Consider the following 16,640-nt stretch of genomic DNA (forward strand, 5'->3'; position numbering starts at 1 on the left):
GGCATCAGGCGCGGAGATTCAGGACAGTGTGCACCTGCTTTCCTCCAACGGGACCCCCTCTGTTCTTCCCAGGAATGCCTGTAAACTGCCACTGCCTCTAGGGGCTGCACCAAGTCCCTGTGTACTCCCAGGACACAATGGAGTGGAATGGAGTGGCTCTGTTCTGTCAGGGCCTAACATTCCAAATGAATTCATTCCCTTCTGGGAAAAAAGAACCACCTTGCTCAGAGCACAATGTTCCCATGTCTTGGCTTACCTTGAAGCATTTTTGATACACCTGTTGGGACAATGCGTTCTGCCAAGAGAAGGGAAGTAGCATACTTTGTTCTATTTTTTACTCTCAATGGGCTACGTTTCCATTGTGTTGGTTTCCCTTACAGAAAGTAACACACACAGAAGAGAAGGTTATAGGATTCCATGCTGCTTGGCAAAGGCACAAAATATGTGCACATATTTACATGGAATATGAGGGTAAACTAGAAAATTAAGGGTAATCTAAAATAGAAAAAAAGAAGAAAACAATAAGTTAAAAGTATGAAAAGACATCCAGAATGAGCAAGTTACTGAGGTTGTGCCTCAACTTTAGCTTGAGTTTCCTGGCAGCAAAGGTAAAAAGGTAAGTACATTGAATCACATACTTCTTATTATCTTCTAAAAGGAATTAACGGAGTGGAATATATAAAAAGCACTGAATAACATAAGGAACAAGATCTTCAATGGTCATTTTGAAAAAGCCTCAGAAGCGTGCTTATAGATGTTTCTTCTGCTGGCTTTCTCAGCAAGATGATACTAAGATACCATCCTAACCACCTCATCTCTGCCTATAGCCCAGGCTATGCCTAGACATGCCTGGAGCTATGCCAGTGGTTCAAGGGGTTTCTACAAACACTTGCTTCTACCTTTGCTTTAAATTGGTTTCTTCTCCTCTGATTTCTCTGGTCTCCACCTGTTTCTTGATTCTCCAGCTATATTTGACACATCTAACCGGATTCATGAGTCTTTAGCCTGTCTGTGGGTTGGCTTGCAGGCTCACTGACCCCAGCAAACTCCCATGCCTGGCCTTGGGTCCTGCCCACCCACCTCCATGTCCTGCCTAAGTCTCGGGTCACATGGCCAGCCCCAGTCCAGGCCAAGAATAGGTTGCTGCTCATTCAAAACAAAATGACACTAAACATCAGCCCTCAATAGAGAGGAATTAAATCTTAACTTTGTAAAATAATTTCAGCAGGGAGTTGAGAAAATACAGCATAACTATGTTGATATTTGATTATTTAATTTAATAAAGATCTAGTGTAGGCCAGGCATGGTGGCTCGCACCTGTAATCCCAGCACTTTGGGAGGCCAAGACACGCGGATCACCTGAGGTCAGGAGTTCAAGACCAGCTTGACCAAATGGTGAAACCCTGTCTCTACTAAAAATACAAAAATTAGCCAGGCATGGTGGCGCATGCCTGTAATCCCAGCTACTTGGGAGGCTGAGGCAGGAGGATCGCTTGACCCCCGGTGGCAGAGGTTGCAGTGTGCCAAGATTGTGCCATTGCACTCCAGCCTGGGCAATAGAGTGAGACTCTGTCTCAAAAAAAAAAAAAAAAAAAAAAAAAAGGATTTAGTGTAAAGAGATTAAAGTAATGACTAGCCAACATATCCATTGATCTGCTTCTCTTGCGTGTCCTATGTCCCTACAAAACTTTGGGCTAAGTGCTAGAAGGTAGTGAATTCAAAGTTGCCTTATCCGGCAAGAGACAGTGAGGACATCCTGAGTTTAAAACTGAAGAGTTGCATCTCTGCTGTGGATGTGACAAGTGTGAGCTGCTGTTTAGAAGGGACAATGGAGAAGCCTGACTTGCCTCCTCCCCCAGCAGGGACATCATTCTATTTGACATCGTGGTGAGATCCAGAGTTCCTCAGGGTTTAGCCAACGTTTCCATCAGAAAAGGAGCTGTGAATCCATTCAAGTTCTTGCTCAAGGACTTGGCTGGGACCCCAGAATTCCACTCCATCTAGCATGAAAGAGATGATTTAGAACTGAAAGGTTTTAGTCCAGCTGTTACCAGTCAGCCACCTTGATCATAAAAGAACCTCTGTTTGGCTCTTGTGCAATCTCTAGTTTTAAGTAGGACCACACACTGCTGGTCTGCAAATTTGAGTTAGCAAAATATACCTCTAGGTGGTAGGGTGATTGTTCTATTGGCTGAAATTGCTTGATTTGTTCTGTTTTAACACCATCAATGGAGAATATCTTCCCAAAACAAAAAAATGTTGCTGATGATATTAATAAGTTGTTCTATCAGGCAATAATTAGACCAGAGGTTCAGTTGCTTCTGAAGTTGTTGTCCTATTGCTAGGTAATAAAACCATGTTCTCAGCAAAGAGGATGTCATCTTCCTGTTTCCTCTAGCTGGAGGACGTGTATTCAATGTATTCAAATATATTTTAAAATTTGCATTTGACCTGTCAGAATAGGTTTTTTTTTTTTAAAAAAATATATATTCTGATTTAGCACTAGGATTATGCTGCAGCTGGAGGGCCTGAGGATCTATTTTAAGATTAGTTTTTTTTGTAGCAAGATGTTTCCTTTTTATGAAAATCAAGCCTGGGGCAGGGGAGAATATGTAGATATTTAGGGTGGGACAGTCCTTTTTTTTTTTTTTGAGATGGAGCCTTGCTTCGTTGCCCAGGCTGGAGTGCAGTGATGCGATCTTGGCTCACTGCAACCTTCACCTCCCGGGTTCAGCGATTCTGCTGTCTCAGCCTCCCGAGTAGCTGGGATGACAGGAGTGTGCCACCACGCCCAGCTAATTTTTTTTTTTTTTTTTTTTTTTTTGAGACAGTCTCATTCTGTCACCAGGCTGGAGTGCAGTGGTGTGATATTGGCTCACTGCAATCTCTTCCTCCCGGGTTCAAGCAATTCCCCTGCCTCAGCCTCCCGAGTAGCTGGGACTACAGGCGTGCCCCACCACACTCAGCTAATTTTTGTATTTTAGTAGAGATGGGGTTTCACCATGTTGGCCAGGATGGTCTCGATCTCCCGACCTCATGATCTGCCTGCCTCGGCCTCCCAAAGTACTGGGATTACAGGTGTAAGCCACCATGCCTGGCTAATGCCCAGCTAAGTTTTGTACTTTCGTAGAGACACGGTTTCACCATGTTGGTCAGGCTGGTCTCAAACTCCTGACTTCAGATCATCTGCCTGCCTCAGGACAGTGCTCTTTTACTTGTAGAAATTGAAAACTGGCATCTTAGGCAATGTTATTCTTTAAAGTTGGATTATAAAAATAGAGATATTTCATATCTCTCACTCTGTTCCTCTCTCACATACACACATACAGACATATGTATTTTTTCCTTAAATATAAGAACAACGCATACATACATTTTCTTTTGTAAAGTTAGAAGATCCAGGAACACCGGCCCTGGTTTTCCCGTGGCACAGCTGAGTAGTAGCTGGCCTCACCTGCTGGGGCAGGAGTTTTCCAGGTTGCAATGTGCCTCTTTCTGTATTTTCCTGCTACATTTCTTCCCTGCCTGGCTTTGACACATATTTGAGTTTATAATGCCTCTACGAGGTTGTATTTTCTCAGGTGACTAGAGTGAACAGGAGCGCAGCCACAGGAGTTAAGATAAAGGATTAGGTCTTATGTGTACCATCTGAGATAGAAACCAACTCTCAAACCTAGCCAGTTTCTGACCACTGGATCTCTTAAGGACAGAAGTTTTCTTGTACTGCATGGGCCCCACTCTAAGATACATGAGACATGTTTCTCTTATGCCACCTTAAGGCCATTGACAGAAGAAAAAAGGAAGTCACAGAGTCCCGAAGATATTTTTGTTTGCTCTTAGGTATGTTGGTTTAATACCATCAAGGAGAACACAGAACACCCAACCAGAGATTCTACTAGAAATAAAGGGCGAGTAAGATGATCTGGGCTGGGCGTGGTGGATCACACCTGTAATCCCAGCACTTTGGGAGGCCTAGGCAGGTGGATTGCTTGAGGCCAAGAGTTTTGAGACCAGCCTGGCCAACATAATGAAACCCTGTCTCTACTAAAAATACAAAAATTAACTAGGTGTGGTGGTGCATGCCTGTAATCCCAGCTGCTTGGGAGGCTGAGGCACAAGAATCACTAGAACGTGGGAGGTGGGGGTTGCAGTGAGCTGAGATTGTGCCACTGCACTCCAGCCTGGGCAACAGAGCAAGACTCTGTCTCAGACAAACACAAGATGATCTGCAGATGGACGCTATGGCTGAACCAAAAGCCATAGGATCTAGGTATTGCCCCGAGAGTAATGTCAAATGGCACGGCATGTGGCCTTGGGAGCTGAGGTTCTGCTCGTTGACAATTGGTCTTCAGGAAGCCAAGTTGACCAGTAGGCTGACATAAGCACACCATTCTACGTTGTTGATTTCAAATCGACAAGTGCCCGTATGCATTTCCAGACTGCTTTTTTTTTTTTTTTCTTAATGAGCTCCTCTCCCTAAATGCTCTGCTACCTGACAACCCAGAGCTGGGGCTCAGCAGGGGAGGAAGCGCCCTCTCCTCGTCCTCCCTTTAAGGATGGCATCTTAGCCTCTCCATGCTGCTATAACAAATCCCATAAACTGGGGAGCTTACAAACAACAGAAGTTTATTGCTCATAGTTCTGGAAGCTGGAAAGTCTAATATTAAGGCAGATTCGGTGCCTGGGGAGCACTCACTTTCTGGCTTACAAGCAAAACTTTCTTCCTGTGTCCTCACATGGTGGAAGGGACTACTGAGCTTTTGAGGGCCTCTTTTATAAGGGCACTAACTGTCTCCCAAAGGCCCCATCTCTTAATGCCATTACTTTAGGGGATAGGATTTCAATATATTAATTGCAGAGGAACAAAAACATTCAGACCATAGCATATGGGATTCACATCTTAATGACAGTGATTCCAGAACCTGACACCTGCACTGCTGCCTACATGGGTGGACCCGGCACCTATGCACCAGGCCAGTGACAAAGCAAGGCTGTCACTGCCCCTGCACAGGAACAGCTTTTGCAGAGCCCTGATGACTCTGCTCATCTACACCCAGGCACATAAATTTCACTTTGGTAACAAAATAGGCAAATTCACAAGAATCGGCACAGACTCGTGGGAGGGCTCCTGTACCACTTGTCTGCTTCTTAAACTTCTCTTTCAGTGGTATGAATTTCATGTGTCAGGGGTACCATCTTACTTAAAGGAAAATTAAAGGGGCTGGTGAAGGGGAACTAGGCATAATGTAACTGGGTGAATCCCACATAGAAAGCCTTCTCTGGATAGGATCTACACGGAAGACTTCCTTCCTAGTGTTGGCACCTGTTACTTACTTTCCTTCACCCTAATTGGCAGATAATAGCAGGATTTTCTTCTACAAGAACTCCACGAGATCTTAGAAATGATTTCTTCCAATTTGATCCAAATCCATTTGCTTTTACAGAATAGATGTCGATCCCCAAATTCGGAGTTCAAATTAGGACTTGCTCATTTCGGGCAGTTGATGGCTGGCTCCAGCCTAAATTATACTTTCTAAATCTATTCTGGGACTCAGCTGGGTTATGAAGCCCTGACCCATGATTACATCAAGCCATTGAAAAAAATTGAGGCAAAACAAAACAAAACAAAACAAAACAAAACAAAACAAAACAAAACAGGTTTTCCCTCTGCTAGATCTTAGGACACCTAAGACTTAGGGGTAGAGTGCTGGCTTTTGACATAGGTGACCAATAGATGATACTGAAATTGGTCTTTCATCTTCTCTCTTGCCTTTTTTTTTGCATGGGTTGTGGAAGCTGGAAAAGACCTAAGGGACAATTGCAGCTCCATTTTTCTGACATAGTGGCTGAAGGGAGGGATATTTAAAAGAGGAACATGCTGTTTCTTTGGTGCTATAGGGAGAAAACTCACTCTTGGCCTTAGTTGTAATAATCTTCACCCCAAGAGTCTCTACCATGGTCTCTAATTGCTCTCTGTGTCCAGGACTGACCTTAGGGTGAGTAAAAATTGTTCTAAGAGTTTCTCTCTTTTCCCATCTGCATTATTCATCACTTCCTCTGCTGTGTTCTTTTCTCTACCCCACTGTGCCTGTTTTTCTGGAACACTATATATTAAGGCACTGCTTCTCAAACTGTCTTCTCTGTTATATGCCCATGAGCATTAGGTTCAGGATGTCTGAGGTGGAGACCAGGCATCTGATCCATGTACTGTACTTAGAAACACATGGCAATTCTTTTCTTTTCTTTTCTTTTTTTTTTTTTTTTGAGATAATATCTTATTCTGTCACCCAGGCTGGATTGCAGTGATGTAATCTTGGCTCACTGCAGCCTCGACCTCTTGGGTTCAAACAAGCCTTCCATCTCAGCCCCCAGAGTAGCTGGGACTACATGTGAGTGCCACCACACCCAGCTAATTTGTTTGTAGAGATGGGGTTTTGCCATGTTGCCCAGTTTGTTCTCAAAACTCCTGACCTCAAGTGATCTGCTCACCTCTACCTCCCAAAGTGCTGGGATTACAGCCACTAAGCCCGGCCAACACAAAGCAATTTTGATGCATGCAATTTGTGCAATCTTTTATGACAATGCTGCAATAAGGTGATTTCTTAGTCCTTATCTCACTTGACTATCAGCAGCATTTGAAAATCCATCATGCCCTTCTGGGATCCTCTTTCTACCTCACTGGCTGCTCTCTGCTCATCTCCAGTGCTGGTTCCACCACATGGAGCCCATCTCTAAGCTTTGGAGTGGCTTCAGGTCCAGTGTGCTGACAATTTTCTTTCCATCCACACACATTCCCCAGATGTTATCATATAGTCCTCTAGCTTTAAATGCCAATCTCCAGTGGTATACTGGAGAATGTGTAACTCTTATCAACTCTCTAGGGGAATAAAAGCCCTGCTTTGTAATGTTTGCCAATTTCCATGGTGTAAATTCCCTGCCATGGCCCATTTCAAACTGCTCATCTGTCATCACTGAATGTAGAGTTGAGAAGAAATCACATAATTGGCTCTGGAGAGCCTCTCAAGCCAGCTCCAGTGAACCCCTGATAATGTCCACATCTTATCTCCAATACAGACCTCTCACCCAAAGAGAAAACATATGTTTTTAACATCCTACTGTATATCTCCATTTGAATTTTTACTCATTATCTCAAGTTTAGCACATCACGAATAGAACCCAGTCTCTCCCGCCCAGGCTGTCATCACTGACCAGCTCTTCCTGCAGTGGTTCCCATCTTGGTAAGCGTCAGCTGCAGTCTACAGCTGCTCAGGGGGCCGTTCTTGACTCCTGTCTTCCTTTCTCCCTCCACACCCAATCTGTCAGGAAATCCTGCCAGCTCTCCCTTCTAGATAAATTCAGAGTCCATTCACTTCTCACCACCTCCAGGGTATCCGCTGGCCTAAATCATCATCATCTGTCACTAAGATGATTGTACTAGTAACCTCATGCAACACCCTGATTCCAGCCTTCTTCTCTATCAACCTAGTAGCTAACGTCATCTTTCAGCCCCTGATCCCCTGATCTTTTTCAGTCTTACCCAGAGTAAAACCCAAAGGTCCTTCTCATGGCCTGCACAGCCTGTGCCAGCTGGGCTCCTAACTCTTCTCTGACTCTTTAACCTCACTTCTGACCACCCCCATCTCACCCCTTCACTCTGCTCCAGCTACCTGCTTGCCATCCCTCAAGTACATCAAGCCCACTCCTGCCTCTGGCCTGTTGTACTTGCTGTGCCCTCTGTGTGGGATGTTCTTTCCCCACATGGCTGTGTGGCTTGCTCCCATCTCCCTCCCTGTCCTTCCTTGAGAGCCACATTATATAACCATGCTGCACGCTCCGTCTCCCCCTGCTCCTTACTCTGCTTTATTTCTCTTTAGAGAACTCATCACCACTTGACGTACTACCAATTCACGAAAGCGCAGACTTAGCTGTGTCTCTTGGGCCTAGAACACTGTCTGGCATGTAGTCGATGTTAAATAAATATCTGTGAAATTAATAAATAAAATGTTAGGTCCTAGGTATTCCATTCCCAGGGATATCTGTATTCTGGGACTGATTCTGTGTGGTTGGACTAGGACCGCATTTTCTAGCAATGATCAATATACTTCTAACCCTTATTGGTTTTCCTCATTAATGTTCCAATAGAGTGATTGGAGAAATTGTGTCTGAATGATCCCTCCAATCCCTCCAATCACTCTATGGGAATGTTAATGAGGAAAGCCAGTCAGGCTTGGAAGCCTATAGCGTTTTTGAGAAAAGTTAGCAAGTAATGTAGGAAAATGATCAGAAGGATATTTCTGTACTATCTCAAAATATCCCCACAAGGGTTGTGATTGGGAAGAAAAGGGACTGCCCATGCACCCAAAGGTGTTAATTGTGTAGTAGGATTTTAGGAAGTTTTTCATGATCAAGTTCTCCACCAAGAAGAGCTAGCATCTTAAAATAAGTCACTGTTAGGACTGGTGATGACACGGATGTTCGTCTGCATACAAGCACAGGCACACTGCAACCCTGGCCCTTGAAGGACAATTCTGTTTTATTAAAGGCTTGAGTTTATAACCACAAAGGTATTCTTTTTGTTCAGGTAGTCAGCATTCACTCAATAAACACTTGTTTATCCTATCTTTATCCCAGGTATTGTTGTAGGCTCTGAGACCTAGTAGAAAAACTGACCAAGTCCTTTGAAGTATTAGTTATTGAGTGGCCAATAAGAGAAGACAAAAAAGAATTAAAAATCCGTAGATGTGGTTCATCCACTCCCAGATTAGAATAAAGATCCATTGCACAGTTTCTTCTATATAGTTTTATGGATGTAGGATAGATAATATTATCCTCTGAGGCTCATTGATGAGTAAATACAAATAAAAGTGGATTGTTTTCAACTATGTGTTCAAAGAAAGTCTTATATTACACAGGTGGATAATATTCATTATGTTAGAGCAGTTTCTAAGAGATCTGTTTCAAAGCATTTAAAGAAAGCCATTTCCCCCGGGGCAGGTGTGGTGGCTCACACCTGTAATTCCAGCAGTTTGGGAGGCTAAAGCGGGTGGATCACTTGAGGTCAGGAGTTCAAGACCAGCCTGGCCAACCTGGTGAAACCCTGTCTCTACTAAAAATACAAAAATTAGCCAGGCATGGTGATGGATGCCTTTATTGTCAGCCACTCAGGAGGCTGAGGCAGGAGAACCACCTGAACCCAGGAAGAGGAGGTTGCAGTAAGCTAAAATCATGCCACTGCACTCCAGCCTGGGTGACAGAGCAAGACGCCACCTCAAAAAAAAAAAAAAAAAAAAAAGAGAAGAAAGCTATGTCCCCTTTCTCCTTGAGAACACGATTGACTTTGTGTACATATTTGCAATATGGCAGATTGAAAGACACACAAAAGGGACTTTGTCCATGCACCAGTCAAGAAAAGAAGCATACAGGAGAAGCTAGATTGGATGTTTTTGATCTTAAATAGCCTGGAAGGAAGTCATGCACAATTCTAGACTCTATGACTTCGGAAGGCCTCAGGTAACTATCCAGAGACTCTCCTCAATGTGCTGGACACTGCATAGGATGTGCCAGGAATATGGACCCAACTTTCAAGGAGCCTAAATAGTTTTTTTCCCCTATTGAGAATGACATGACCCAAAAACCCAACCCAACCAACCCATTTATTTCTCTTTTATGTAAAGTCACCAGAAAACACAAAAACTAGCTGGTTTCCTTATGCTAGCATCTTGCCCAAATCATCGATCTTGGTAATATTATTTCCTTGGGGCAGCTGTTCTCAGTGTTGGCTGCAGGTTGGAATCACCTGGGGATTTAAATACTGATGCCTGGATCCTATCCCCAGAGATTCTGATGTACATAGTCTGGGGTACAGATGGGTTCTTAAAAGCTCCTTGAGTGTTTCCAATGCAACACCAAAGTTGAAAAGCATTGTTTTAACATGACCCATGGCATGATGGTGAGGCATGACGAGGGGACAAGCTATTCAAAGAAGAGAACCATAGCTCAGTTTCAGGCCCAGCCTGAGAGCTGCCATTTTGCATAGGATGCTGAAACGCCTGGGAGTCCTGACCATTTGCATAGATATTTGCAATCCTGCTTTCCACACCAGCTTGAGGAATGAAAACTCTGGAGTGGTACCCATAGAGACAGCCTTTCCTTCCCCACACTGAGCCAATAAGCAATGTCATTCTACCCAAGATGAGAAGTCAATGGCTTAACATGACATAAGCTGCTATACAAAACAAAATAAATATCGGTTCACCAAGTTTGGGTCACTTAAAATTGCACGGGCCTAACCAATGCAGGGAAAATGGCCTTCAATGCATTCTATGAACCAGAGAATTGGAGTCCCCAGTAGTCTGTGTTCTTTTTCTCCAGAGAGGCGTATATTTATAGAAGGAACAAAACCCCATGCAGGATGAGGGGGCTGGCTAATAATATGTGTGAATACACTGATCTGTCTGAACAGTTCTTGGCTGCCTGCGCTCAATGGTAATAAATATCCACTGAAAGCCGTCTGCTGTATGTGTTTTTGGTAACGTCTCACACTTCCCTGCATGAATACATTCAGAATGTAAGCAGCACACACTCAACGATAGAGACTCTGTTGTATTCCGAATTCTTAAGTTATGCAGCTTAGCAGCTGTGATAATGTAATGGTTTGCAAAATAATAGACTGGCAAGACGTCAACCTGGAATAACACATCATATAATGAATGATGTGGGTACAAAAACGTTTAATTTATGCTGTGTTAAAAATATCGCTCCAGAAATATCCCACCATTTCAGTCTTTCCCAGACACACAAAAACCCTTTCACCTAAAGTATTGGAATAATTGTGATAAAAGAGAATGCTTTCTTGTCTCATTTTTCCCCCAATAAAATCATCAGATTTGTACTACTTTGTGAAGAGATCTATGATTTGAGTCTGATTGGCTGTTCATGCATTAACTTTGTTCCACTTAAAGATGTACAGCATGGTCTTAGAGTTCCGAATAAATAAGAAAAGAGCATTTCGCTTTCTCCGCTTGTACTGACACGTAAGAGTGAACACATTTTCCACCAGAGATAATGGGACTTGTGGTAGGTTAGCACGAGGATGGAGGCTGTTCCAGTGTAGGTCTTAATTCTGATCCTCTTCTCGAATTTGCTCACTGACAGTTTATATGAACTTTTAGATTTCATTCATTCTGTCATCTAGTGGATATTTATTGCACTCCTGTTATGAACCAGGAACCCAGGGGTGTTCCCTGTCCTCAAGATGCCTGCCATCGTACGGAGGATTATGACTGAAGCAAACCAGTGGTTTCAATGCAGTGTGATTTGTGCTATTGTAAAGGGATCCTAGAGTACTACGGGAGCCAGCAGGGAGAGCATTTACTCAGACTTGGGGAAGGGATGGGGTGCCTGGAAGAGCTTCCTGTGGAATTGGCTTTAGGCTGAAAGAAGTAAAGGGGGTGGAGGGAGGAGGCAGAAATTGCCAGGAAGATGAAAACACACGCAAAGTTCCTGGGGCAAGAGCAAGCTCCGTAGTTTGGAGGAACAGCAAACATGTCCACGCATGGTTGGAATATAACATTCCCAGGGTAAAGCATGGGAAGAGGTGAGGCTGGAGGGCTGTGATTAGGAAAGGCCTTGTGATTTGTCCTTATCCTGAGGCAGGGAGCCACTTAAGGGTTTCAGTAGACGAGTGACACAATCACCCCTCGGTTTTAGAAAGAGCACAGTGGCTGCAGCACAGAGCGTGAATTGAGGGGAGCAAGACTGGCCACGGCGAGAAGGCAACACGCAGGCAAGAGATGGTGGCGGGCTGCACCACGGAATAGAGGAGCAGGACGGGGAGAGACGTTTCAGAGCTGGAATGGACAGTGCCTTGTGGCTGTGAGAAGGAGACGATGGAAAGAGAGGAGGCAGGAAGACGCCAGGGTCTAGTTTGGGTTTTAGGAAGCTGGGGGTGTTGGAGGAGAAGCAGGATTATTAGGAGAGATGACGAAGTTCATCGTGGACATGCTGGATTTGAGGTGTTGAGATGTTCAAGAGAACAGTGATGTCCAGTCCAGCTTGGGGGTCTGTGGGTGTGGATATTAGAGATGATAAGTCAACGGGGCAGACGAGCAATCCAGTAAATGCAGGAAATTATGCTCCCACTTCAACAGGTGATCTTACAGCTGGAAAATCAGTGGGTGAAAACGGAGATACAGCAACTCTGTAAGTATTTGCACGACTGGGTCAGAGCCCTCATAGGCGGGCATCTCAGGGTGTGAAGAAATATACATTTCTCAGCTTCCTGGAGCCCAAACTACAGCAGCAGAGAATACAGACAGAAGCCTAGCAGATTTCACCTCCACTTAAAACCACAAACTAAGACAACATGGGGTGGGCCACATAAAAGGTTCACTCACTCATTCTTAGGCTTTGCATCTATAAAGGTAATCTCCAACATAAAACCATTTCCTCGTATTGCAAAGTTATAGCAGTTTAATAAAAACTTCCTCCCTGCCCCAAGGCAAACGCCCAGGAAAAAATTTCCACATTTTCTCTTTCCTTAACTCATTTATATGTTTTGTTCTTACATTTATTAGAATTTTCCATGAAGTTCATTTTTACTTTACTTCTGGAATAAAAACCATCTGGCTTTAGAAGGAAGAGACCATACAGAAGGATGTGGGCTTGAGTAAGTTGAGTTACTTGGGATTCACGTGTAGTCAGTTAGAAAAATTTTGTTTTCCACGTGTCTTACATAAAATTGGGAGTCCCAGAAAAGTTATCACCACGACACAATATACTGCTTGTCTTGGCTTTAGCAAGCGAATAGCCCTAAAGGATCTCCCCAGGAGACAGGGAGGTGTGTCTAAATATAAAAAATTGTCATCTGTTTATTAAAAATACAAGACTGGGTGCGGTGGCTCACGCCTATAATCTCAGCACTTTGGGAGGCCAAGGCAGGTGGATCACCTGAGGTCAGGAGTTCGAGACCAGCCTGGCCAACATGGTGAAACCCCGTCTCTACTAAAAATATAAAATTATCCAAGTGTGGTGGCGCACGCCTGTAATACCAGTTGCTCTGGAGGCTGAGGCAGGAGAATCACTTGAACCCAGGAGGTGGAGGTTGCAGTGAGCCAAGATCGTGCCACTGAACTCCAGCCCGGGCAACACAGCGAGACTCTGTCTCAAGAAAAAAACAAACAGAAAAAAAAAGATACAAGCCAAATGTTCTTATACACAAAGACAGGCAATCTTAAAAATGATGCCTATCATTATGGACTACATTTTATATGATTGCCAGGTATTGTGTTACGTCCTTGCATACATTTTTGGTGATCCTTTACAAGCACTGCAAAGGGGTGGGCAGTGTGGATGAATAAACCGAAGCTGAGAAAGTTTGAGTCACTCTATCAAGGCCATATGACTCGTAAATATTCAATAGTTAAAGAGTAAATAGTAAAACTCGTAAATAGCAAATAGACAAGCCTCACTCTTGTCACCCCACCCTGCTGCTTTCTGTAGCACCTAAATTGTCTTTGTTACTTATTTTGTAGCTTAATTCTAGCCTGTATTATACTGACTTCTAATTGTTTTATTTATATAAACTTTACAGGCCTAATCTCTCCTCCCATACCAAACGTGGCATTTTATATTTCTTTCTTTCTTTCTTTCTTTCTTTTTTTTTTGAGACCTGAGTCTTTCTCTGTCACCAGGCTCGAGTGCAGTGGCTCCATCTTGGCTCACAGCAACCTCCACCTCCCAGGTTCAAGCGATTCCCCTGCCACAGCCTCCTGAGTAGCTGGGATTATAAGCGCATACCACCACGCCTGGCTAATTTTTTTGTATTTTAGTACAGACAGGGTTTCACCATGTTGGCCAGGATGGTCTCCATCTCCTGACCTCGTGATCCGACCAGCTCGGTCTCCCAAAGTGCTGGGATTACAGGTGTGAGCCATCACACCCAGTCCATTTTATATTTCCTTTATGTTTTCCACCCTCCCTAGCACAGTGACGGGCTCTTGGCAGTCTGAAGAAGCATGAACCAGAACTAAGCCTGGTCTCTCAGGATTTGGTGGATGTCTAAGTTGCAGGGTTAAGAAGTTGCAGTTCCTTCTTTCAACTCAACCTCTAGCAGTTGGATACAGAAGCAATTGTCGAACCTGGGCACCTAAGGGGACAGGACTGTCAGTGTCCTGGAAATCATGTTCTTCTCTTTGGTTTTCACCACCTCTTAATGGCATATCTTCTATATTTCCTTTAATGCGAACACAGGTAACGAGTTGGTTATAACCCTTTTCTCAGGGCCAGGCTGCCATGCCATCGCTCCTCCAGAGAGCAAACACGAAACATGATCCTATGGCAAGAACATACAATGCCAGGTCCCTGGATTTAGGTCCTGCTCTGTCATTGACTGTATATTCCCATAAAGAAGATTAAAACTCTCCACGCCTTGGTTTCCCTGTTTATACAGGACAAGGGTAGTAACCCCTGGGCTCTGTGCCTTGTTAGTGACTCGCAATGGTAAAGCAGGGGAATGAACTGAAAGCCTTACAGAAATGTAAGGTCTTCCGCGTCATTAGATGCTGTGAGACAATGGAAACCAACTCAAATGCCTGGCGCCCTTAGAGCCGCTGATGGAACTGAACAAACTGCTATTGCTTTACACTCCCAATGGAAGGGTGCTGGCTCTCAGTGTTTGCCCTTACCTCTCCTCCTCTTCTATAAACACAGGACTCCATTCTGAAAATTGTCACAGAATTGTCAATTCCTCTGACCCACAGTGTTAGATGTCCAGTGGAATTGACAGGACATCATACATTTCAATTAGTTCCACTCTCCATTGCTCTGGAGGGTGAGGTGCTACCTCACCTTCACGGGGAAGACCCAATGTTCCAAGGATGTGCAGCGCGGGAGGGCCCCAAACCATTCAGACCATACTCATGTTAAGGCCCATGTAACGGTGGGGTGTGCTCAAGGGCAGAAAATAGCCCTGTGTGCTTTGAAGGCAAGTGTGTGCAAACATACCCAATAACAGACATGTTTTGTGTATGATACTATATTCCCATATTGTCAATTTTTCTTAAATTAGTAAACAATGACTAACAGAAGTGGTAACTGCCTATATTTGAATTTATGCAAACATACATGATTTATTAAACACTTTATCTGGAGAACATAATGGTATAAATGGAGGTTTCCAGGCGACTGGATTTGTGTGTGTGTGTGTGCGCGTCTATAAAGGAAGACTATGTGCTCAATGTGGCCATTCACACAGCCCTAAGGCACACAATTCACACTTCCATGTTAGCATTTGTGAATAAATATCTTAATAATAGAACACGTGATAAAAATTTTGTTACCATACAGACCAAAGAGTTTTCACTAACACCTAACATCACACTCAATAGCAGCCTGATCAATGTGTAAATTTTGCTGTCACTGATGGCCTAAGATCTAAGCTATTGGAATAACATGAAATACACAGTAAGCATTTAATACATATTAGTTGATGATCTTGACATTCAGAACAAGAAATAAGTCTCAAAATAAAGACCGACACACAACCAGAATAGAAAGCAACGTTTTTTTCATTATTCAAATGGCAGAAAAAATGTAACTCATCAAAACTCAGGAAATCAACCCGACCTAAGTATTTAGTTAGCCCCTCACATTTTTAAACCTTTAGTTTTTTTTTTTAAATAAAACATCGCTGAGTAGTAAGTTATACCAACCAGAAAAAGTCACTTGAATTCAGTTCTGATCTTCTTTATAAGATGCTGCGGATAGCTGATCTAACAAGAGAGCTTCATGTGATGCTATTTGCTTTATTAGGTCTTGGACTACACCTTAACTGAAGACGTCTATGTAGGTGACGAAAACTCATGGAAGGACTTGCCACAATTCAAACATGGGCTTTTGGGGTTTCTGAGACCAACAGAACCACCATATACTTTGTGGGTGTAGGGATTCTCCCTGCATGTTGAGCCTGTCACCCTAATGACAACCAGCTTTGCATTAACTAGAGTCAGCCCCAAAAATGCATCTGTTACTCCAGAGAAGGACAAATCCTTATTATTACTTTATAGGATTTTCTCTACTAGGGGCTTCCATAAAGTAAACATGCTTTCAGGAAATTAACAGAGTAATTTTAAGCCAAAATCCATAGCATTAAAAACAAATAAACCCCAAATGATAGCAATGTATTTGGGGGGAAAAAAGCATGTAATCAACTGCCTGCATAATTTAAACTACCAAAGCTTTGAAGCTCCTTAACATCACCATCACCTCCCTTTTAGACACTGTCACCCAGTAGAAGAAATTCACAGCCCTGCTGCTCTAATGAGTATGTTTCAGTAAACACAGAAGAAATCATTTTCACAGCCCCCATGCATTTCTCAGCAAGCACTCAAATCTTTCAAACCCATTCCAGGGGGAAGTTTCCATCCCAATCTTTTCCCTCATATTTCATCTCTAAGAGCACCCCTCCCCCATCTGAGATCCACAAGTTACAAAAATTACTGTTTCAGGTTTCTCATCATTATCTGTTAAAAAACTAAAATTACAGATGAGATAGTATTCTACAGTCCCAGGAACTCCAACTGTTCAGGAAACGTGAGTAACAGAAGTAACGCGGTATACAATGAAAACAAACATCTTCCTGT

General features: G+C 43.4%; 1 protein-coding gene and 1 long non-coding RNA gene across 4 annotated transcripts in view; one reads left to right on the plus strand and one right to left on the minus strand.

Moving 5' to 3' along the window:
* Positions 1-16,640, minus strand: part of FRMD4A (FERM domain containing 4A) — a 687,219-nt gene that overhangs the window by 347,671 nt on the left and 322,908 nt on the right. The window lies entirely within an intron of this gene.
* FRMD4A-AS2 (FRMD4A antisense RNA 2) lies at positions 204-16,150 on the plus strand. Of its 2 annotated transcripts, none has more exons than NR_199003.1 (3): positions 204-616; positions 12,150-12,201; positions 15,811-16,150. It is a non-coding gene; the product is annotated as an FRMD4A antisense RNA 2 (long non-coding RNA). The 2 variants fall into 2 exon arrangements; NR_199002.1 differs by lacking the exon at positions 15,811-16,150 and adding an exon at positions 13,983-15,078.

Source organism: Homo sapiens, chromosome 10 (genome assembly GCF_000001405.40).
Source record: "Homo sapiens chromosome 10, GRCh38.p14 Primary Assembly".
Lineage (NCBI taxonomy): Eukaryota > Metazoa > Chordata > Mammalia > Primates > Hominidae > Homo > Homo sapiens.